The 23,999-nt window shown below is 35.3% G+C and overlaps 1 protein-coding gene and 1 pseudogene across 13 annotated transcripts in view; one reads left to right on the top strand and one right to left on the bottom strand.

Annotated features, from left to right (window-relative positions):
* The window catches only part of NGLY1 (N-glycanase 1), a 71,096-nt gene that overhangs the window by 8,624 nt on the left and 38,473 nt on the right, over positions 1–23,999 (bottom strand). For 5 of the 13 annotated variants that reach the window (NM_001145294.2, NM_001145295.2, NM_018297.4 and 2 more), the window contains exons 4-10: positions 23,531–23,696; positions 12,010–12,232; positions 9,767–9,888; positions 8,437–8,582; positions 6,305–6,415; positions 4,752–4,916; positions 1,566–1,751 (exon numbers count right to left, since the gene is read on the bottom strand). In NM_001145294.2, the coding sequence (NP_001138766.1) occupies positions 1,566–1,751; positions 4,752–4,916; positions 6,305–6,415; positions 8,437–8,582; positions 9,767–9,888; positions 12,010–12,232; positions 23,531–23,696 (1,119 nt within the window). Of the gene's footprint in view, positions 1–1,565; positions 1,752–4,751; positions 4,917–6,304; positions 6,416–8,436; positions 8,583–8,741; positions 8,834–9,766; positions 9,889–12,009; positions 12,233–23,530; positions 23,697–23,999 lie in introns of those variants that run through there. The other 8 variants (XM_047448557.1, NM_001145293.2, XM_005265317.1 and 5 more) reach the window with 5 other exon arrangements.
* RPL32P11 (ribosomal protein L32 pseudogene 11) lies at positions 21,867–22,378 on the top strand (annotated as a pseudogene).

Consider the following 23,999-nt stretch of genomic DNA (forward strand, 5'->3'; position numbering starts at 1 on the left):
GTGTTGATATCCTTATTATAGCACTCTGCATCATGGTTAAGATGGCGGTTTATGCTTTGGCTTCCCCTTTTAGATCGTGAGGTCAGGAATCATCTTTTTGTTTACGTAGCTGAGAATAATGCCTGGCACAACAGTACAAGTTTGCTGATGAACAAATGAGTGTATAAGACAAAGAAGAAATACTCCATACAGTAGTTCTGTTTCTTGGCATATCACATCTTCTGTAACACATCACTATTTTCCCCATCATTACTACTTTACTAACATTGCTGGTTAGGAGGAAACACATGATTTTTCTCCATTTTAGCAAGTATAGACTAGTCATTCGATAAAAAACCCTTTTATTCTATCTTGCTTTCTGTTCAGAGAAATTCTTAGGCTAAGGATAGTCTTCTAGAAGATGTTCATCCTCTCTCATCAACTGTACAACTAATTACAGGTATCTCGAAATTTTAAATTTTATCTCTATTTTTATGCATTTCTTTAGCTAAAGAAGAAAATTCCAAAATTTAGAATAATCCTGTAAGTTACTAATACAAAAATACCTCAACTTTTTTAGTATTAGACAATGTGATATAAATGGAGTATTTCTATGTTTAAGCAGCAAGATAAGTTTTTGAACAAAAACTTATGATTGAAAAAGAGAAAAGCAGAGACCTTATCTCTGTATGTTTTTGGTAATTTGATTAATGCCTAGTACAGTGACAGCATGTAACAGATGCTCATAAACACTAGCAGCTGTTTATATGTGACTCACTTTTTTAATCTATCCAATATATTTTACAAGTGAACAAGTTCCCACTCAAGTATCTTGGTAAATTAACTTTAAAAGCTTCCTATAAGTTAATTAATTCCTATGAAAATCTATCAAGAATATGATCAGATCTACTGAGGTCATGTGAATAGCTTTAAGTTTATTTTGGTGTGTTTCTAAGGAGCAGGCAGTTTTAAAGCAAAGCCTCTTATTTGTTACTGATAGCATGTGACGATAATATGCAACTTGGTATAAATGAACTGCTATAGTCCTAACCTCTACTTAATTATTTTTTTAAGATACAGAGAAGAAATAACCAATATTGCTGCTCAATCATCCACATTCTTTGAAGTGAATGCCTGTTAGATGTTTAGCTTTCTGAAACTTTGAACTAAATCTATTATACTCCCTAAATAGCCTGTATTTAATGGGCAATCAATACACATCTGTGAAGGAATTAATTCACAATATAATGTATTTATATATACAGTATCAAATAGAATATATATGTATATATGTTCATGCAAAAATCAGTCATATGGATTGATCATACATTTGATTATTTTTTCCCATGAAAGAATTAAATTCATCCTCTTTGATGAAAACAGATACTTCCTTGATATAAATGCAAGAATTTCTAGTGGACTTTTGATTACATATTGGGGACAGAATTTTCTTTTCCAGGTTATAGGATTACTGAAAATAAGTTTGATATATCAGTTTTCATATTTTACACAACTGAAAAATGAAGCCAATCTATATTTGTTTAAACAATGACAAAAGTTTTAAATGGTTTTATGCATTAAGTTACCATGTGCCAGTCTGTTTCAACTTTTCTGAATATAGATTCCATTTTCCACACGCCATTCTCCCATCCAGAAATGGTTTGATTGTTATTTGAAACTCGAACATAACGATCTTTCACAATATTGTAACAAAGGTGGAGCTGTTTAGAAATCTTCTCATTTTCACAGGGAATAAACAAGGTTTCTTTTCTCTTAAAAAGAAAGCAGAATTAGTTTTTCAACATTATGAAAGATGTAAAAAAGAAAAAAGAGAAATTACTAAGCAGAGTGGTAAGAGAATCCTTCAAAATTGAAAAGAAAAAATTAGTGCCATTGGAAAATTTGGAAATTATTTTATAAATTAAATATAATCAGTATGATGTTATTATAACTCTAAACATTACTAGAGAGAAAAACAAGAAGTATGAGCTCTGACTTATATTTTTGTGATTTTGCATTCAATGAATTCATTAATTTTTATTCTTTTCTACCACCACCACTATCCCCCTACTTGGACTTCTACAATTGTCTCCTGAAGCTGACTCCCAGCTTTCAACTCTTACCTCTCCTATCCATGCTCCACATAGCAATGAAAATGACTTTTCAAAAAATGTAAACTAGGATATGTCACTTTCCTGCTTAACTCACTTCAGTGACTTAAACTCCAAGCTCTTTACCACGGCTACCAGGGCCTTATGTGATGGTTCACCCTGCTTGCTTCTCCAGCCAGATCTTCTGTTACTCTTCCCTTTCATTTCTACACTCACATCACATTACTTTTCCTTTAGTTCCTCAAAAAGGTCCAGCTCATTTTGCCTCACGGCTTTGACACATGCTGCTTACTTTGTCTAGGATGCTGTTTTCTACTCTCCACATACTGGATTCTTTCTCATCCTGAGTCCTCAACCATTTCCTCAGTGTCCTTTCCTAGTTCCCTAAGCTAGGAGAGCAGCTGAGAGGTATAGCATGAAACAGTCTTCTGCATGTGTAAAATTATTACAAAAGCTTGTATTTTAACCTTAAAATCCCAGGCAATCTTTGCATTCTAGTCCAAAATAACATTAATATTTTATAAAATATTTTAATTCTAAGATTAAAATAAAACTTTTCTTTCTGGAAATGATAGTACCAATGTTTCTTCTGTTTCCAATTGATTGCAAGATTAATTCCAAAAGTATTTAGGATTAATGTTTTTCTATTTACTTTTAAAACAAACATCCATTTCTAAAGGAAAAAATGATTTCTTTTTAAATCCATGGCCCTAAAATGGTCTCCAGCAATTAAGAAACTTAAAAAAAATTTCAAAAGGGAAAACAATGTGGTATGCAACCCAATTCATATTTTTAAAGTTAATCAACTTCCATGCCATGCAAGAGATAGCACACCCATGCATAAAAAGAAATGAAGACCTAAATAATATCCATGTTTTAAATTGAACACAGCTGCGAATTAAATTAGCTCTTTTTAACTGGCTGTATTTAGATTTATACTTGTAACACACTGCATTGGCAGTGATTTGAATTATTTGTTGAATTTGGATCTTGTAATCCTATGGCTGAACCAACACTTTTAACTGCCCGCTACAGACGATGGGATAAATTAAAAAGCAAACATAAAATTTATTAGTGATAATTCACTCCTTTAAAACATATTCTGTTACTAGAGAAATGAACTGTAACAATGGCAAATTTAGAAAAAGTAGATAAATACAACTTTAATTTGTTTGGAACTGCTTGATACTGATATTGTGATGAGTTATTTTTCTTTCAAGCATTTTTCATTGCATATTTCCTAAACATTTTATTAAATGCTCTCCAGTGACTCAACTTTAGCTCCCTAAGGGCAAAGGACAGTCTATTATACTGCCCTAATGCCTGTTACAAAGCCTAGCACACTGATTTTTACCTAGTCCCTTAACTTTAGGACCTACCTATGGAAATTATATTTCCATTGTTATTTAATTTTGGAAGATTAATCATGTGGTATCTTAAAATAAATTTTAATATAACAGTAATCATGCCACCAACAATTTCTAGCCAATATCAGATATATGCAAGCATATACCAAGAAATAAACACTTTCATCAGCTGAATTCCCCAAATTCTGTATTTTCTCCACTCCATAAAGTTTTCATCTGGAGAGGAAAAACGTAAAACAGCATTCTTTTAAATGCATTAGAATCTCATTTTAAAAGACCTAAATAAGCACTTCACAAAAGAGAATGAGGATATCCAAAAGTTTAAAGAACAGGCATTCACCATAATTAGTCATCACCAAAATGCAAATTAAAATCACGATACTACTATACGCCACCAGAACTGCTAAAATGAAAAGATAGACAATACCAAGTGTACACAAAGATGTCGAAAAACTTCATATACTGCTGGTGAGAGTATAAGCTGGCATAACCATTTTGAAAAACTGTTTGGCAATATGTACTAAAGCTGAATATACTCATACTCTATTACCTAGCAATTCCACTCCTAGGTATACATCCAACAAAATGCCTAAACATATTCACTGAAAACGTGAATATAAATGTTCAGAGCAGCACCATTTATATCAGCCAAAACTAGAAATAACCCAAATAGCCATCAACAGTGAAAAATTACATTCATACAATAAATTATACAGCAATGAGAACATACCATACACGTTGCAACATGTATCTCACTGACACAAAGTTACACAAAACAAGCTATATACAAAACAGTACATGCTATATGATTCCATTTTATAAAGCACAATAACAGGCAAAACTAATATATGATGTTAGAAGCCAGAATAATGATTACTTTCGAGGGTGTAAGGCAGTGGGGAAAGAAACTCACGCTTGTTTCTACGGTTCCAGTGATCTATTTCTTATTCTGGTTGGCGATTACATGGGTGTTAAATTTGTAAACATTCATTAAGCTGTACATTTATAATTTGTGCATTTTCCTGTATATTCTTCAGTAAAAGTTACACTGCACTAAAAATTTACATAAGGTAAAAAAAATTTTAAGTCCCATTTTAAAAATGCTTTGCTAACTCTTACACGATAATGCTATGTAAATCAATTACTGGTTCTCTTCAAATGTTTGCATTTTAAAATAATTACTCTCAAGTTAACTGAAAGGTCATAGTCAATGCAGTTGGAGGATAGTATAGGAAGAGCATAGTATATGAAGCAGGAAAGTAAAAGGATCATCATGCTAGAATGAATTAAATACCTGTAGACCCATTTCACCTCGGGCTACTCTCCAAGCCACTGACCCAGATATTCTTCCCCCAAGTTCTCCAGGTTTAGGGGTTTTGGGAGATATAAATTCAACAAGCTCCACAATTATCCTCTGGAGAAGTTCTTTCCTTCTGTTTTCTGACAAAAACAGTTGCCTCTGTAATTCATGTTTTTTAAAAAAGTTGTTAAGATTAGGGGAATGTATAGGTCCATCTCTAAGCAAGAATATACTTAAAACACTTGCATTTTAAGAGGTCTTGAAACAAGTACTGAATTTTATTTTCAAACATATATTATTCAGAAAATAAAAAGGACACTGTGGAAAACTTAAATAATTTTATAAATTTTATGTTGGGAAATCATTTAACACCTATTTCCAACTCTCCATGAGCTCTACTGTCCTAGATTTATTTATAATGAAGGTAGCAACTTCTGTTTCTGGATATGATAGACTGGCTTGTGTCAGAATGTCTTACTGAGAAAAGCTAGAAAAGCTAGTGGAAACACACAAACAGAACACTCACATATAAACACCTGTTTGAGTGCAACAGAAAGCTGTAAAGGCAGCCAGAACTTGAGAAGTCAAGATTCCAAGAGAAGAAAAGAATTGAGGTGAAGGGCACATACTGCACCTCTTTTCCCTTCCAGTCATTTGTCAATTATTAAGTGGCATGAGAAGAGGCTGAGAAGCCAAGGACAAAATAGTGACTAAAGTGCTGGAAATCAAAGCAGAATTTTTAGCAGAATCACAGTGCTGGGGTAAAAATAAACTGAGGGTCAGAGTGTTCTAATGCAAGGGGATCTAGCAAATAATCCAGGTTTTCAGGTAGAGATCTCCGAAGGGCTACACATCAGGAGTAAGTGCAGATTCAAAATAGACTGAAACCTCACCTGGAATCATTATCACTGATTGGATTAATGTGCTCTGCCCTGTTCTAACTGCCTGCTACAGCAAAATTCACTGCTTATTTTTTAATTTATGAAAAAAACCCACATGTATAGAGTTAAAAATTTCAATACTATCAAAGGGGTATAAAACAAAAATTGAACCTTTCATCTTGGAACTCCAGTTCCTCCTCTCAGAAGTAGTCATTGTTAATAACTTCCTGTGCCTTGCTTCAGAAATTTCCTCACATGGACGTGTGTGTGTGTGTGTGTGTGTGTGTGTGTGTGTGTGTGTGTGTGTGTGTATGTACATACATAATACATAAATATGAGTCTGTGTCATATCCAAGGCACAGTTACACTGATAAATAAGACAACACATTTTTTGTCAGGTACTACCAATACTGAAATTTTGTTTCAAAGAACTTTGAAATGAGACAGTTTAATCCAAAATAACTCATAATATTTAAAATGAGTCCGCAAAATTTTCAATGAACAAAAAGAATATTTTTATTCTTTAATATTCAAAAAGAATATTAAAATATTCTTGTTTATAAAACAATGCTACTACTTTAAGAATTTCAATAGGCTAATAAACGGCTATTCTCGATTACATAAAAAATGTCAACTGTTCTTTCAAAAAAGATAGCCACACCATACCTGCTTATTAAGCCCATTAATAGTGTCTCGAAGTAATGCTTCTTTAACCTTAGTTCTTCTGGCAATCACCTCTTCATGTTTGCAGGAATATCGCCAAGTGACATCAACTACCTGAAACAAATAACAGAATACAAATACTTAACAAGATTACAACCATCAACCTTTACTTACTAAATACCTAGAATGTATGTAATTTTTAAATGCATTTTTTTGGAGACGAAGTCTCGCTCTGTTGTCCAGGCTAGAGTGCAGTGGCGTGATCTCAGCTCACTGCAGTCTCACTTCCCAGGGTCAAGAGATTCTCGTATCTCAGCCTCCTGAGTAGCTGGGACTATAGGCATGCACCATCACGCCTGGCTGATTTTTGTATTGTTTTAAGTAGAGATGGGGTTTCACCATGTTGGCTAGGCTGGTCTCGAACTCCTGACCTCAGGTGATCCACCCACCTTGGCCTCCCAAAGTGCTGGGATTATAAGCATGAGCCACCACGCCCAGCCTTAAATGCAATTTTTAGAATACTATCCTTTGTTTAAAATTTAAAAGTCATGGGGCCTGGTGCAGTGGCTCATGCCTGTAATCTCAGCACTTTGGGAGGCTGAGGTGAGCAGATCACCTGAGGTCAGGAGTTGGAGACCAGCCTGGCCAACATGGTGAAACCCCGTCTCTACTGAAAAAAAACAAACAAAAAAAATTAGCCAGGTGTGGTGGCATGTGCTTGTAATCCCAGTTACTCAGGAGGCTGAGGCAGGAGAATCGCTTGAACTTGGGAGGCAGAGGTTGCAGTGAGCTGGGATCATGCAACTGCACTCCAGCCTGGGCAAGAGGGTGAGACTGTCTCGAAAAATTAAAATAAAATAAAATAAAACGTAAAAGCCTATAAAATAAACGGAAGAGAATACGTCACTTATTCATTCCTAAACAGTTGATAGTTTAACCAGAAACGCTATGATAAAAAAGTGAAAATTTCAAAACATTACCTTTTTAAAATTTATCTGCAAAGCTGATTCCACAAAATTCAACAAATAAAAATTTTATCCATTTTTATTGTATTAGATTTATATTACAGAACTGATTTTTGATACAAGTGGAAAGACAATTCAATGGAGAAAAAATAATCTTTTCAATAAATGGTGCTAGAACAATTCATTATCCATATGTAAAAAAAAACTTCATACACCTTGGATCATATAAAAAAATTAACTCAAAATGGATTGCAGACATAAGCATAAAACCAAAAAAAACTTCTAAAACAAAACATAGGAGAAAATCATTGTGACCAAGGGCTAGGCAAAATTTCTTAAATATAACATCAAAAAGCACAATCCATAAAACAACCAATTGGTAAACTGAACGCCAGTTTCTTCTCTTCAAAAATCATTAAGAGCATAAAAAGACAAACTACAGATAGGGAGAAAAATCTTTGCAAAGCACATATCTGATAATGGACTTATATAAGAATATATAAAGAACTCTCAAAACCAAACAGTAAGAAAACACAATACCCAATTAAAAAAAATAAGCAAAGGGGACATATGGATGGTAAGCAAACACATAAAAAGATGCTCAGTATTATTTGTCATTAGGGAAGTACAAATAAAAACCATAATGAAATGCCACTACACACCTATTAAAGGGGATAAAATTAAAAAGTCAGATCATACTAAATGTTAGCAAGGACATGGAGAAACTGGAAACTTACATACTGCTTGCGAAAATGTAAAATGGCACAACCACGTTGGAAAATAGTTTAGTGGTTTCTTAAAAAGTTGTATGTATATCTACCATATAATGCAGCCATTCTACTCCTAGGCATTAAGCAAAGAGAAAAGGCAGCATATGCCCATATAAAGACTTGTGTGCCTGAGTGTTCATGGCAGCTTAATTTGAAATTGTGAAAAAAACTGGGAACTACCCAAATAGCCATCAACAGGTGAAATGGTAAACTATGGCACATCCATACAATGAATACTGATTTGCAGTGATGATTTCAGTGTATACAAATAAAACTTATCAAACTGTACAATTTAAATATATGCAGGTTATTGTATGTTAATTATACATTCATGAAGCTGTCATAAAAGAAAAAAATATATTTTACTTTTGGAAAAAAGTTTTTTTCTTTTATGCTCTACCTCATCTTTTGAAAATGCTATGACATAGGAAAGCTTCTTGCCCCATCCTATTTCATAAAGGAGTGGCTTGTCACAGACATCTTCACATGCATCACAGTGCAGCCACCGCTGCTGAGAAGGAGAATAGACTTCTGTCCAGACATGGTCTACTCAAGTAAGAGAAAAGAGAGCAATGGAAAAAAGACAATGAAATCAGAATGACTTTCAATAACTATACACAAACTCCTAAGAATCATAAAGTAATGCATAATATTCTGAATTTCAGTTAATAAGTGCATTTTGTGGCACACAGGATTTTAGAATACCTGTATTAATTTCTGTCTCTTTGAAATCCTTAAAAATGTTTTTCCAATCTCCTTTAACGTGGTCAGTTTTAGGCTTAATGTGCGCTGTAACTCTTAAGAAGGTAGACATATTAAAGAGCAGCATAAAAAATATCATCCTGAGTTTACTATCATGAAGGAGTTAATGCCACTTTTGAAACTACAGTCTCTCTCTCTGGACTTTAAGGCCCAGAACCAGCAGGAAGTCTAATAGAATCTCTGGTCAATACATGCTTTATATTTGATTTTAAGAGAACACTAACTATTAATGGAAGGTTTCATTTAATTCTTTAGAAAATGGAAACACAAGGAAAACAACTTTTTAACATGTAGACCACACAAGTTATTTCTAAATAGGGACAACACAAATATCACATGACTTTTATTATTTCTGTATACTGTGCTTTAAGTTTATAGTTTACTAAATTTTTTACAGTAATCCCTATAGCAATGAAGATTTCTATGGTACATTATTACATGTTTTTATCCATATATAAACAGCATCACTATAAATGCCACGGTAAATTGCTAATAAAAGAAACAAGACCTAGTGTTTGATAGATCAATAGGGTGTTTACAGTTTACAATAATCCACTGCATATTTCATAATAGCTAGAAGAGAGTAATTCAAATGTTTCCAGCATAAAGACAAATATTTAAGATCTCAGACATCCCAATAATACTGATTTGCTCTGTAGAATTTATATAAATGCATTACAAGTATCCCCCAAATATGTACATCTATTATGCATCAATAAAAAAATAAAGGGGAAAAAAAGGAATATTTATAGTGCAAAGCACCAGGCACAGTGCTAGGTGTTTTACAAAACTCTTGTGATCCCTTCAAAAAACCTGGAAGGTTGGTATTATTACTGTTTTACACAAGGCAAATGGAAGGTCAGACTGACAAGGCCAAAAAGTAACAGAGAATCATGGGCTCAGAATGTAAACCCAAACCTGCAAGCCTGCAAAGCCCTACTACCCTCTGCTCATTCCACATTCTGTACCTGTGTAATCCCAAACATAGCGAGCTTCAAACCCTACAGCTCGGCAGCACAGTGTAAAACAATTGGCCCACTCGCCACACCGTCCACATCTTGTTTCCAAAAGTTTCTCAGGGTTATTATATCTGGTTTAAAAAGAAAAAAAACCTTAATTATCAAAATCAAGATTTTTAAGAGAATTTACATTACCTCTATGCTAAACAGAAATGTTTAATTTTTTTTTTTTTTTTGAGACGGAGTCTTGCTCTGTCACCCAGGCTGGAGTGCAGTGGCGCAATCTCGGCTCACTGCAACCTCCGCCTCCCAGGTTCAAGTGATTCTCCTGCCTCAGCCTCCAGAGTATCTGTGACTACAGGTGCATGCCACCAGGTCTGGCTAATTTTGTTTGTATTTTCAGTAGAGACGGGGTTTCACCATGTTAGCCAGGATGGTCTCGATCTCCTGACCTCGTGATTCGCCCGCCTCAGCCTCCCAAAGTGCTGAGATTACAGGTGTGAGCCACTGCGCCCGGCCTTTAATTTGTTTTTAAATATTTATTTAGAAATCTAGAATATATGAGGCACAATGTTAGAACATTTGGTGAAAAATAATTAAACGGTAGTACTGCTTTCAAGGTGTTCACAATCCTGAGGAAAGGGATGAACACAAATAATTTAAATATATGGCAGAATGTGATCAAACAATACAACAGGTCAGATTAGTGATCAAACAATACAACAGGTCAGAAAGTGGCTGGTGAGGAGAGCTTTTATTTGATCTGTGTTTTGAATAATGTAAGATTTGGAGAAGCAAATTCTCTAGGCAATTTGCCTAAAGCATTAGCACTAAAGTGGTATAGCTAGCTCACTGTATTTAAAAGGTAAACAACTTTAACAAATTACTCAACAAAAATTTTAGCTTAGTTTAATTCAATTTTATCTAAAATATTATCTTTCTTTCTAATAATCATTTTGATTAAAATTTTACTCTTTTGAAGTATTTAAAGGTGCCTGCTAATTTGGAAGTTGTTTTTTGGGATCTATTTGTAACATTCTTTTCAGAAGTTACTCCAATTATAAAATTACCAGACAATTCAAGAACACTAAATTTTGCATTTTGTGTTGAGATGGGTTTTGAACTGATAGAGCTGAGCAGGAAAAGTGCTGCAGCTGAGCAGAGAGGTCAGCCACGTGCTTTGGAAGGAAAGGAAACAGTGGCATAAATGAATGGGCTCTGCGATGACAAGTCTGTTAAGCAAATGCTTAACCAAGCATTTCTTAAGCTAAATAAATGAATTTATAACTTAGGTAATTAAATTTTTTTTTTTTTTGAGACAAAGTCTCAAGTCTCACTCTGTCGCCCAGGCTGGAGCGCAGTGGCACAATCTTGGATCACTGCAACCTCTGCCTCCCAGGTTCAAGCAATCCTCCTGCCTCAGCCTCCCCATATAGAGAAGAGCTAGAGGTTAAAACAAGCACATGATTAGAAACTATGTCCTAAGCTAAAAAAAATTAGATATTTTTAAAACGTGGTATCTTTCCTTGACTGATAATACAACCAGACTTTATAAACATTGCCAATTCAGAAAATCTGAAAACAGGCTTATAAATTAAAGAATGGAAATTAATTTAAAATTTAAAATGTCCTTAGTTTAAAATTTAGAGATATGAGGAGTAGGTTAGGTTGGGCAGGGGAAGCACCTAACTAAAACAAACTTCTGCTAATAAGACTGATAATAATAATGCTGATTATTGTGAGAGTGAATACAATTATGTGTTTAAAATAATCATCCGATGATAATATGGAAGGTAAAAGTATACCTCAGCATTATTATAAGTATTGTTAGCTATCAGACAGTTAAAAATTAGGAATTAAAAAAGTAATACAAGATTTATAGCATTAAACATGTTATGACTATACTCAAGTTATACTTTAGAACAAGAGTCAACAAATTTCCTATAAAAGACAGATGGTGAATATTTCAGACTTTGTGGGTCATATCATTTCTGTCACCATTATTCAACTCTGCTTGTTGCAGCATAAAAACAGACCATAAGCAAATAAATCAGCATGGTTATGTTCTAATAAAACTTTACTTACAAAAACAGGATGTCGGCTGGATTTAGCCTGCCAGCCACGGTTTGCTCACCGGTATTTTAGAGGAATATATTTCTGATAATTAAATATTAAAAAGTTCATTTAGTAAAAACTCTCTTCTAACTATTTCATTAAGAGATTATTCTGATTTTACCATCCAGGGCACCCACCTTGGGAATCGATTGCTGAACTGGCAGGCATCACAGTAATGATCTTCCACTTCCTTTGCACCCCACTTCAGCTCATCATCACTGGGCAGTAATGATCTATCTCTAGACCTAGTCTGTCCACCACATTTGCTGCACAAAACGTTATTCACCCAGTGAAAAAATTCTTCCTTAAACCAGTGCAAAAGCTCCAGCAAAAGAAAATCCTCATCACTTATATTGATACCTGAGAAATTAAGGGAGGACCAAGTAAGAGCTAAAACTGACAAAATTTAAACTATCCAAACATATTTATTCTCAAATACGAACCTGAAAAATATGAAAACATAAGATGATTTTAAGGTTTTCACTAATAAGAGGCAAGAAGAAACTGTCATTTATTAGGCACTAGGCTGAAATACAATGACAAGTATAACTGCACATTAAAAACAGTAGAACATTTACCATTTTATATCCTCTAACTGACATTATGCATTAACAAGTGAGCTGAACACAATGACCTCTTAGGGAACTATAGTCAGTTAGGAATTGATCCTGAAGTACAAGGGAGGTAGAAAAATAAATTTGATTTTGAAAAACATTTAAAAATGGGAAACATTGAATTTGTTATCAGGTATATACACAAGTAAACATGAAACAATCACAAAAGGCAGAAATCACAGAATTCCAGACATTTAAAAAATCATCCTATTAGCCTTTCTATTAGGGCTTCAACTGTACAATATAATCCATCCATGGATACTCATCCCCAAACACATAAAAACACAACCATATCTCTAGTATATATAACAACCCTAGTAAGTTATAACATGACAGATAATATACCCACTTTTCCATAAACAGATCTCTCTTGTTCATATTCAAGACCATGGTATCTCTGGCAAGAAGGGAAGGAGAGGGAAAATCAATCTTAAAAACATATATAGGGGGTTCTCATCTCTATCTTTAATGTTTTATGATTAAAACAGAGTGATAATAAAACATAAATATGAAGGACATATATAGCATAATGATAAAATCTAATAAAGCTTGATGTTGGTCATAGGTATATGATATATTATACTTTGTTCTTGTATTTATGTTTGATGTATTTCAAAATAAAAAACTACAGAAAAAAAAACTACAGAGAATGTAAAAAGGCCAGAAATATTTATGTTCCTGGAGGGAAAACTCAATATTTCTAAAGCTGATAACCTTCCACAAATTAATCTATAATTTAATATAATCCCAATTAAAATTATAAAATATTTTTTCATAAAATTTGACAAGCTAGCCAGGTGTGGCGGCTCACAGCTCTAATCCCAGCACTTTGGGAGGCCAAGGTAGGCAGATCATCTGAGGTCAGGAGTTCGAGACCAGCCTGGCCAACATGGTGAAACTTCGTCTCTACTAAAAACTACAAAAATTTTCTGGGTTTGGTGGTAGGTGCCTGTGATCCCAGCTACTTGGGAGGCTGAGGCGGGAGAATCACCTGAACCTGGGATGCAGAGGTTGCAGTGAGCCAAGATCATGCCATTGCACTCCAGCCTGAGTGACAGAGCGAAACTCTGTCTCATTAAAAAAAAAAAAAAAAAAAAAATTGACAAGCTAACTACAAAATCCCATGTGAAAGAGAAAATGCACAAAATAGCCAACACAACTTTGAGCAAGAATCATAAGGTAAATTTGCCTACCGTGTATCAAGACATATTATAAAACTCTAATATTTAAAACAATGTGGTATTAGTGAAGAATAAACAGATCAATGAAACAAAAGAATTCTGAAAGACAGATTTCTAAGCAAATGCACAGTATTTAATAAAGTTAGCATTTTAAAGCAGCTCTAACAGGATGGACTGTTTCAATAAATGATATTAGGACAAATAGCTATCTATCAGATCCCTACTATAGTTCATTAAAAAAAAACTTTCTCTGGAATAATATAAAATAATAGAAGTTTATAGGTGAGTATGTTTATGTTTATGACTTTGGGTTAGGAAGGTCTTAGGCAAGCAAGATACAAACTGTAAAATCAATAATAAAAAAATTAAATTTTCTTATGTTAAAAATAAAAACTTTTGAATTTCAAAAGCTACACTAAAGAACTCTGGGAGGAAAAATTTGTAACATGTCTAACAAAGAAAAGATAAATTTCTGGACGGGCACGGTGGCTCACGCCTATAATCCCAGCACTTTAGGAGGCTGAGGTGGGAGGATCACTTGAGGTCAGGAGTTGGAGAACAGCCTGCCCAACATGGTGAAACCCCGTCTCTACTAAAAATACAAAAGAAAAAAAAAATTAGCCGGGCGTGGTGGCAGGTACCTGTAATCCCAGCTACTCAGGAAGCTGAGGCAGGAGAATCACTTGAACCTGGGAGGCGGAGGTTGCAGTGAGCCGAGATCGCGCCACTGCACTCCAATCTGGGCGACAACAGCAAAACTCTGTCTCAAAAAGATAAATTTCTAAATACATAAAGAACTTCTATAAATCAGTAAGAACATTAAGAAACCCACTAGAAAAATTCACAAAGTCCATAAAAGAAATTCAATACTTTCATTAAGTGGAAACAAATATTCTTAGACACTTCTAGTATAAATTGGAAGGCAATTTGGCAGGATCCATTATAATATAAAAGTATTACACACACTTGACATTTCAGTATCTATCCAAGAGAAATACTTGTGCATGTGTGCCAGGAGACATGGTTTACAAGAATCTCCACTGTGGTGGCATTTAGAACAGAGAAAATGGAAACAACCTCTATGTCCATCAATAGGGAATTGTATAAATAATAGTGTATGTACAATCAAACACTATGGAGTTAAAAAGCTGTCCAATACATATTTGTAAATGAAAAACACCAAGGAGCTGAATATATATGAGATGATAAATTTTAAATAAACCCCACACAACTTAAACTATTTTTATAGATAATTATTTAAGGTATAAATATCCAGGACAAGACATGAAAAAGAACAGAACTGAATGGCAGGGAGAGTTTGGCGTTTCCCATATAATATGAAAGCTTTCCAACAGGAAGATATTCATGAATTAGTTACATTAAAAACAAAGTTTTAGAAACAGAGGACTGTCATTCTCCTTCTCAGTCTAGTGCCTACCATGCAGCAGCTAGAGTAATCTTCTTAAAAGTACAGGCCAGATTATGTGACTTAAAAAACCCTCCAATGGGTTTCCATCTCATTCAAAATAAAATTCAAAGTCCCAACTCTTGTTCTTTCAGCTGGCTCCCCGTCGTAGGCTAAAAAATGGCCCTCAGAGGATATCCATGTCCTAATCACTGTAGCCTATGAATGTAGTTACCTTATGTGGCAAAAAAAAAAAAAAAAAAAAAAAAAAGGTCTTTGCAGATATTATAAAGTTAAGGATCTCTAGATGGGGAGATTATCCTGGAATATGTGGATAAATTCAATCACAATTAACCTCATAAAAAGCAAGTAAATGGAGATTTTACACACAGAGAAGGCAATGTGAAGATGGGACAGAGAGAGATTTGAAGATGCTGGCCTTAAGACCAGACTGTTGCAGCCACAAACCAAGGACTGCCAGCAGCAACCAAAAGCTGGAAGAGGCAAAGAACAGATTCTCCCCTCCAAAAGAAGCATGGCTCTGGGGATACTTCGATTTCCCGCTGTGATAATGATTTTGGATTTCTGCCTTCTGGAACTGTAAGAATAAATTTCTTTTTATTTCACCAAGTTTGTGGTAATTTGTTATAGTAGCCCCAGGAAACTTAAATACCCTCTTCCCTCTCTGACCTCAAACCCTATCTCCTCCTGTCTTGTTCACTGGCTACAGCCACCATGCTCTCCCTGCCATCTCTTAAACTTGCCAACCTCACTCCCACCTCAGGAGGCCTTTGCAGTTGCTCATGCCTTCTACCTAAAAGGGAAATCATTGCTTTTTAGAGAAGCCATCCCTGAAAATCTTGTATCAAACAGCATCTTACTAGTCGTCACTCACTCTGTTCTCCCATTGGTCTTCCTAGCACTTTTCACTAGTGTGTGTGTGTGTCTCTTTCCATAATGGTAGGTACTTAGTTTTGTTCACTGCTATATCCCCAACACTTAGTGTTCTGCTTGCTATACACTAGATGCTTAATAAATATTTGAATGATGAAAGGACTGAACAAACATGCCTCAAAATATTACTTAGAATTGTAATTGTTCACCAAATAGTCATTATCAAGACCAAGAAGAAAGGAAAGGAAAACAGAGTATTTGTACTTCTGTTACATACTCCAGGTATAATCCAGCTGAAAGTAGGACTACTAAACAGTAACACCCAATTAAGGGTCAATGTTCCTCATTTAAACAATATCCTTAACTAGGGGCTCAGAGAAATAAAAGTAGATTCCTGTATGATGAAAGCTCAGAAATCTCAGAGATAAGGGAAGCCTGATTTAGATGCTAAATTCTGTGAATACTGGGTTTATTTCAAAAATATAATTAAGACTTCAAATTTCTAAAGTTACCATCTTCAAAAATACCATATAAACGTAGATTTCTAGTAACTTATCAGTGACAAAATAAAATCAACAAGTTTAGACCTAACTCCATTCTCTGAAAACCACTTCAATATACAAGAGAATGAGAAAATGGGTAAAAACATCAGTAGAGGTAGCCTCATCCATGTTCTCCATCTCATATCTTCACATACAATTTAGTAGGCCAAGATATATTTTGTTACCACTTTTCAAAAATGGGTTCTTCCTCCTCCAAAAAGATGTTTTACCTGTATCTGGAACATGCAATCATGACAAACCTTCAGTCTACCAGGCCAAAGCTATCAAATCATGCTTCTCTATCTCATTTGGCAGTGCCACAAGGTCCCCATTTCTGCATCAAACCAAAACACTTTCCCCAGTCCATAGACCCAGAATATGATTTTTGTCTGGAAAGGAAAAAACAGTGCACTGCACTAATGAAAGAAAATCACCAACTTGGCCAGCGGGGGCTTCGTCATCATCTCAGTGCCATTCACTCACTGGGGCAGAGACTGATGGTGGCCATATAATATCCACTTGCTACTTCTTCCTCATTTATAGAATTTCAATTTTGGAGGGATGACAATGCACCAGTTAAAAAACTACAGATCCCAACTTCCCTTGCGGCTAAGTGTGGCTAAATGACTAAGCTTCATGTTACTCCAAGGAAGACTACTTCAAGAGAAGAAGCTCAAATTAGAGATAAAACCTTTATGCCTTTTCTCTGTTTCTTCTTCCTGATGTTTGGTCTGGAAATGTAATGGCTGGAGCTGCAGCAGCCATTTTGGACTACAAGGTGATGTGAAGGATGGAAAACATATACATCCGAGCCGAAAAGACAGAAGGCACCTAGGTCTTTGATGATAGCTCACCATTAGCTCCAGACTGACTACTTCCATAATTTCTTACATGAGAAAATAATCTCTAAGCCACCAGTCATTTTACTCATAGCACAACCTAATCCTAATTGATATACTCATTATGCCTACCATACCACTTATTTCACTATATAAGTTTCCTTCACTTGTTACTCTTCCTCTTCCCATATCCTGCTGTTTCTAAAATATCGCCATCCAATAGAATTTTCAGCAATAATGGAAATAATTCCTATTCCTACTGTCCAGTAGGGTTGTCACTAACTTGTGGTTATTGAGTAGCTGAAATGTGCTGAGTGTGACTGAAGAACTTGATTTTTCATCTCATTTAATTTAAATGTAAATATCCATATGTGGCTAGTGCTACACTGTTTTCTAGAACCTCTGTAATCCTACCTCTCCACCCTGTCCTCTCAATTTTAGCAATCTCATTTACCTGCATGGCTTTACCTATCATCCTGAAGTGTATTTCAAGGCTTGACTTCTTATCGAATTTCCAGGCCTATGTTTTCACTTGGCAGTCCAGATAGTAGGCACCTCAACTCACTCTTCCTTTCCCTTTAAAACCTGTTTCTACTGACTCCTTTAATTTCCTAGTTGCCTAGATTCAAAGTTACCCAGTCATCTTTGACATCTTCCTTATATATACATGATGCCTTATCCTATTGACTGCAAATTCCACATATTCTATAACCCCAACAACTTTCACATCCATCTTCTCCCTTGTAATCTCAACCCTCTGTTCACCCTCTTATCCCTCTTATGTAAATTAGATTACTATTGTGTTTTAATTTTTCTCTCCTTGTACTCTTTTGATTTTAATTCATTTCACAAGTTATTACTAGATTAATCTTCCTTAAATACAGTCTGATGTCACTCAGAGTTTCAATAGTCAATCCTGCTGAATTACCTATTCGAGAACACCTGAGAAATTATTTTCTGCTTTCTGATGAATAAGGTTATGTAACATTTCTGCTGTATGTTCAATTATAGTCACAATATAACATTAGTCTTTCGGCCAAGACGTGTTTCCTTTGAATTTCTTTGGTCTTTACTATTTCAAACCTTATTAGAAATATGCTTTGTTTCATTTTACTAATTTTTTTGAAAACATTAAAAATGAACTTGGTATACACTGCTCTGTCTGAAATTCAATGTCAACCAAAATATGGTTTCAGCCTACTTGATCTTCCACTGCTTTATATACACCCTACCCTACACACAGTCTAACTGTATTATTCATTGTTCCCAAATAGAGCCTGTCCTTCTCTGCCTCTATGCATGTTGATCACTACACTTGGAAGAAAATCCCCAATCCCTTAGTATGTATTTTGACATATTTTATAAATCCCACTCATCCTTCATGCCCTTAAAAAAAAATCTTTTACTGATTTTCATAATTTTCACTACTAATCTGCTGTGTCATTTCTTTCCTATTTTAATTAAAACTTTTTAAGCGTGAAAGAATATATACACAGATCTTAAATACACATACTCCAATGTGATGAAGTTATTGATAGTTTGTCTTCTCCCTATTTTCCAAATTTTCTACAACCCCTGTATTACCTTTATAATTAGAAAGAAAAAATGCTGGAGCAAATGTTAGCAGGGAACATCAGCAGATTTTTATGGGAAATGGACTTTAAGTCTTAGCTAATAGACTTGAAGGATTCTTGGTCCACTGATAAGACCATTCCCACTGTGAGGACAGATGGACAAATGCATCAGGATAAACATAATGTTCACCTAACTAATGCTCTTTATTGTAGATTTTTGCTCCTTGAGCAATTTCCTGGTTGTTATTTGCCTAGAGAGAGGAAATATGATGGACACAAACAGGAACATTCTGTCTCTATGCTATTTCTCACTGAAGTTTATTCATTTAGCAACATAATGGTTTTATTTTTTATTTTTTGAGACGGAGTTTCGCTCTTTTGCCCAGGCTGCAGTGCAGTGGTGCAATCTCTACTCACTGCAACCTCCGCCTTCCGGTTTCAAGCGATTCTCCTGCTTCAGACTCCCGAGTAGCTGGGATTATGGGCATCTGCAACTGCAAATTAGCCCGGCTAATTTTTGCATTTTTAGTACAGACGGGGTTTCACCATGTTGGCCAAGCTGGTCTACAACATAATGTTTTAAAAATTATACTTCATACATTACATTTGTTGGACTCTGCTTTACACTCAGTTGATCTGTATATTTGAATTCTCATCTTCTATTTAGCTGCTTCTTAAGGCAAGGCTATATTATTATCCTGTCTCTCCCCTGCAGGGCCCAGCCCAATGACTCAAACACAAAACATGTTCAGTAAGTACCTGATAAACAGGCATTTCTATAAGTCATCATATAAAGGACCACAGTACTTTGAAGCTGGACAGGGCCTGTATAATCACATATTAATAAACATTCTTATTGTACACACAGGAAAAAAACTGTTAATACAAGAAGAGAACAACTGTCTTAAGGTTAGCAGGCCTGTAGCAGAAGTAAATCTAAGGCCCAAGCCAGTCATCAAAAATTGAAAAATGGCATAGTGTAATATTTTTAAAAAGACAAAAATTACCAAAATACAAAGGGTAGCAAAATATATAAATGACATTTGTGAAAATTGGTCAAATGGTTAAAAAAGGAAGAGACACATATAGTTAAGCCTTCAGATGGATTTCTGGTTTCATCTTCCAGTTTCTAGCAAGCAGAGGTCAATACTCTCACCTTTAAAACAATAAAAAGCTCAACTGAAATCAGTGACTTTTCTTGGACCCATTAGAGAACTGAGGTCACAGAGTGAATTATCACCCCAAAGTCCAAAAAGATACACAAATATAGAGAATCACAGTCAAAATCTGCTTACATGGAAAAGAAGTCACTAGAGCCATAAACTGGTAAGGACATTTAAATAGCAATTTTGACAAACTGCTGGAAGCTGAGTATGGACTAGCTTGGGAGTAAGAAATTCAGTCTTGGGAGAGGTCCCCACACTTCTGTGCATTTTGTCTGCAGGAAGCCCACCAGGTTTTCACAATGAAGAACCAAGAAAAATCCTTTGTGGCTCTAGAAAAGATGGGAAGAGTAAGAATTGTGAGGTATACCCAGAGTGTTCTTCACAATTAAGGCCTCTCCAGGGAAAAAGATTTTACCAGAGTCTTCTCTGAACTGGGGGAAGGACATATATTTCCCTGACTCCAGCCCCTTGTAGCCTTCCTGTCTCACCTATGGGGGTAAAAAGGCTAACAAACACTTGTGAAAGGCACAGGCCCAGAGATATAGGCCCACTAAAATACTGAGATTTAATCAAAAGATTATAGAACCTTCTCCTTGATACCTTACCATCACACCAATAGGGCTCCAGTATAATAACAATGGATTACAACTAAACGAACACCAAGCAGGATAAATGCAGACTCTAATGAGGAGTTCTTAGGGAAGCCTAAAGACAATGGGGGAGACGACAAGAACACTGGAGGAATTTGAAGCCTCTGATACCTACGGCTAAAGCAAACAAGAAAACAACTCTAGTTAGATTAATTCCTAGCTAGATTAGCATAAAACCTTACATGAAAGGCCTGTTTACCTCAGTTCCTATTATCCAGTACATCATGCCCAGCTTTTACATGTATTTTTTCATTTATTTCTAAAAATTATCATTCTTATTTCTACATGAAGAAACTGAGTCATAGAGATTAAATTACTTGCTCAGTGATGCACAGGAAGTAGCAGAGCTGAATTTACACAAAGACAGTTGACTCCAAAACCTACTCTTAATCAATAAATAATGTCTCTCTACTCATAAAAGTGAGTCAATGGTCTATTCATATGGATTAATTCTGAATATGGTTTCTGTTAGATTCACATTAAAATTCACTAATTTAAATTCACTAATGACGCTATCATATATTCTGTGGGCTAAAGTTCTACTTTACCTAAAAATATACACATACCAATGATTAAACTGCAAATGCGTATTCAGGTAAAAAAAAAAAGTTTTTAAAAAGAATGTTCAAAAGACTTGAATAAACATTTCTCCAAAGAAGATATTCAAATGACCAATAAGCACATGAAAAAAATGCTCAATATCATGAATTAGGAAAATGCAAATCAAAACTACAGTGACATACCGCTTCATCCCCATTAGCATGGCTACTATTGAAAAATCAGAAAATAATAAGCGTTGGTAAAAACAGGGGAAATTAGAACACTTGTGCACTGTTAGCAGGAATATAAAATGATACAGTCACTGTGGAAAACAGTATGGTGGTTCCTCAAAAAATTAAAAATAGAATTGCCATAAGATCCAGCAGTTTCACTTCTGGGTGTATACCAAAAATAATTGAAACCAGGATTTCAGACTAAAGTATTTAAACACCCACGTTCATAGCAACATTATTCACAATAGCCAAAATATTGAAACAACCCAAGTATCCATGAATAAATGAATAAATGGATATGCAAAATGTGATATATACATAAACAGGACATTATTCACCTTAAAAAGGAAGGAAGCTCTCTCCTCCTCAGCACTGCCTACAGAGGTGGCAGCCATCTCCTCTTCGGCCTCATGGCCGCCCTCAGACCCCTTGTGAAGCCCAAGATCATCAAAAAGAGAACCAAGAAGTTCATCCGGCACCAGTCTGACTGATATGTCAAAAATTAAGTGTAACTGGCGGAAACCCAGAGGTATTGACGACAGGGTTCATAGAAGGTTCAAGAGCCAGATCTTGATGCCCAACATTAGTTATGGGAGCAACAAAAAAACAAAGCACATGCTGCCCAGTGGCTTCCAGAAGTTCCTGGTCCACAACGTCAAGGAGCTTGAAGTGCTGCTGATGTGCAACAAAACTTACTGTGCTGAGATTGCTCACAATGTTTCCTCCAAGAACTGCAAAGCCATCATGGAAAGAGCCACCCAGCTGGCCATCAGAGTCACCAACCCCAATGCCAGGCTGCACAGCGAAGAAAATGAGTAGACAGCTCATGTGCATGTTTTGTGTTTAAATAAAACTGTAAAAACTGCCAAAAAAAAAAAAAAAAGAAGGAAATTCTGCAATATGTTACAACCTAGATGTACCAGTTTGTTCTTATGCTGCTATGATGAAATACCTGCAACTGGGTAATTTATAAAGAAGAGGTTTAATTGACTCACAGTTCCACATGGCTGGAGAGGCCTCCCAAAACTTATCATGGCAGAAGGCACCTTTTCACAGGGCAGCAGGAGAGAGAATGAGTGCAAGCAGGGGAAACGCCAGATGCTTATAAAACCATCAGATCTCCTGGGACTCACTCATTATTATGAGAGCAGCATCAGGGAAACCACCACCGTGATTCAATTACCTCCAACTGGTCCCACCCTTGACACACGGGGATTATAAGGATTACAATTCAAGGTGAGATTTGGGTGGGGACACAGAGCCAAACCATATCACTGGATGAACCCTGAGGTTCATTATGCTAAGTGAAATAAACCAGTCACCAAAAGACAAATACTGTATGATTCCACTTATATAAGATAGAATAGTCAAAATCACAGCGACAAAGTAGAATAGTCGTTGCTGGAAGCTGGGGAAGGATTATTACTTAATGAGTATAGTTTCAGTTTTACAAGATAAAAAAAGCTATAGATGGTGGTAATGGCTGAACAACATTATGACTATATTTAATAACACTGAAATGTACACTTAAAAATGGGTAAGATGGTAAATTTTGTTATATGTATTTTACCTCAATTAAAAAATTGAAAAAAAAGGTGATATGTGACCATGAGGTATATGCAATAAAATTATACTATTATTGTACTTCTTAAAAACTCAAATTGAAATAGGTTAAGTATTTATAATGTATAACACTGTAAAACAATGTATAAGAGCAAAAGGCACTACAACTGTCCCTCAGTATATGCTGGGGATTGGTTCCAGGACCCCCACCTATACCAGAATCCACACATACTCATGTCTCACAGTCAGCCCTGCAGAACCCATGTATATAAAGAGTTGACCCTCCGTATATGGGTTTTGCATCCTGTGAATCCACGTTTGGTTTAAAAGAATCCACATATAAGTGGACCCATGCAGTTCAAACCCATGTTCTTCAAGGGTCAGTTGTATTTCAGTATTTTCTGTTTATTTAGCAATGATTTACATTTAGCAATAAATGATTATGTAAAGCTACTACCTTTATCCAATTTTCTAGCTCTCGATAACTTTTCTTGTGATTTCCTTTTTAGTTCTTGGACCGGAATACAAGCCAACGCTTTCTCCTGAAGAGCAGGATTTTCATAGACCAGCACATGCTGAATGTTGGACTGAAGAACTTCTAGAATGGCTGAGTCAGCAGCAACCTAATAGGAAAAAAAAAAACTGAAATTAACTTTTCACCATATGCTACAAAAATAATATATAATAAAAAAACTGTGGTTTTATGATTTTACAGATAGAAGGGAATGTATGGATTCACTTAAATATAATAATTATACCCATAAACTTCATAACATTAGTATTAGGAGACAGCCACATTTGTGTCAGAGCCTAAGATCTATCTATTTTTTTCCTTTTGTATATACTATTAAGGATATATTTAAATAAGGATATGCGGAATTCTTGAATACAAGCATGGATCAATACAGAGCTCTGATCTATGCATC

Source organism: Homo sapiens, chromosome 3 (assembly GCF_000001405.40).
Source record: "Homo sapiens chromosome 3, GRCh38.p14 Primary Assembly".
NCBI classification, from domain to species: domain Eukaryota; kingdom Metazoa; phylum Chordata; class Mammalia; order Primates; family Hominidae; genus Homo; species Homo sapiens.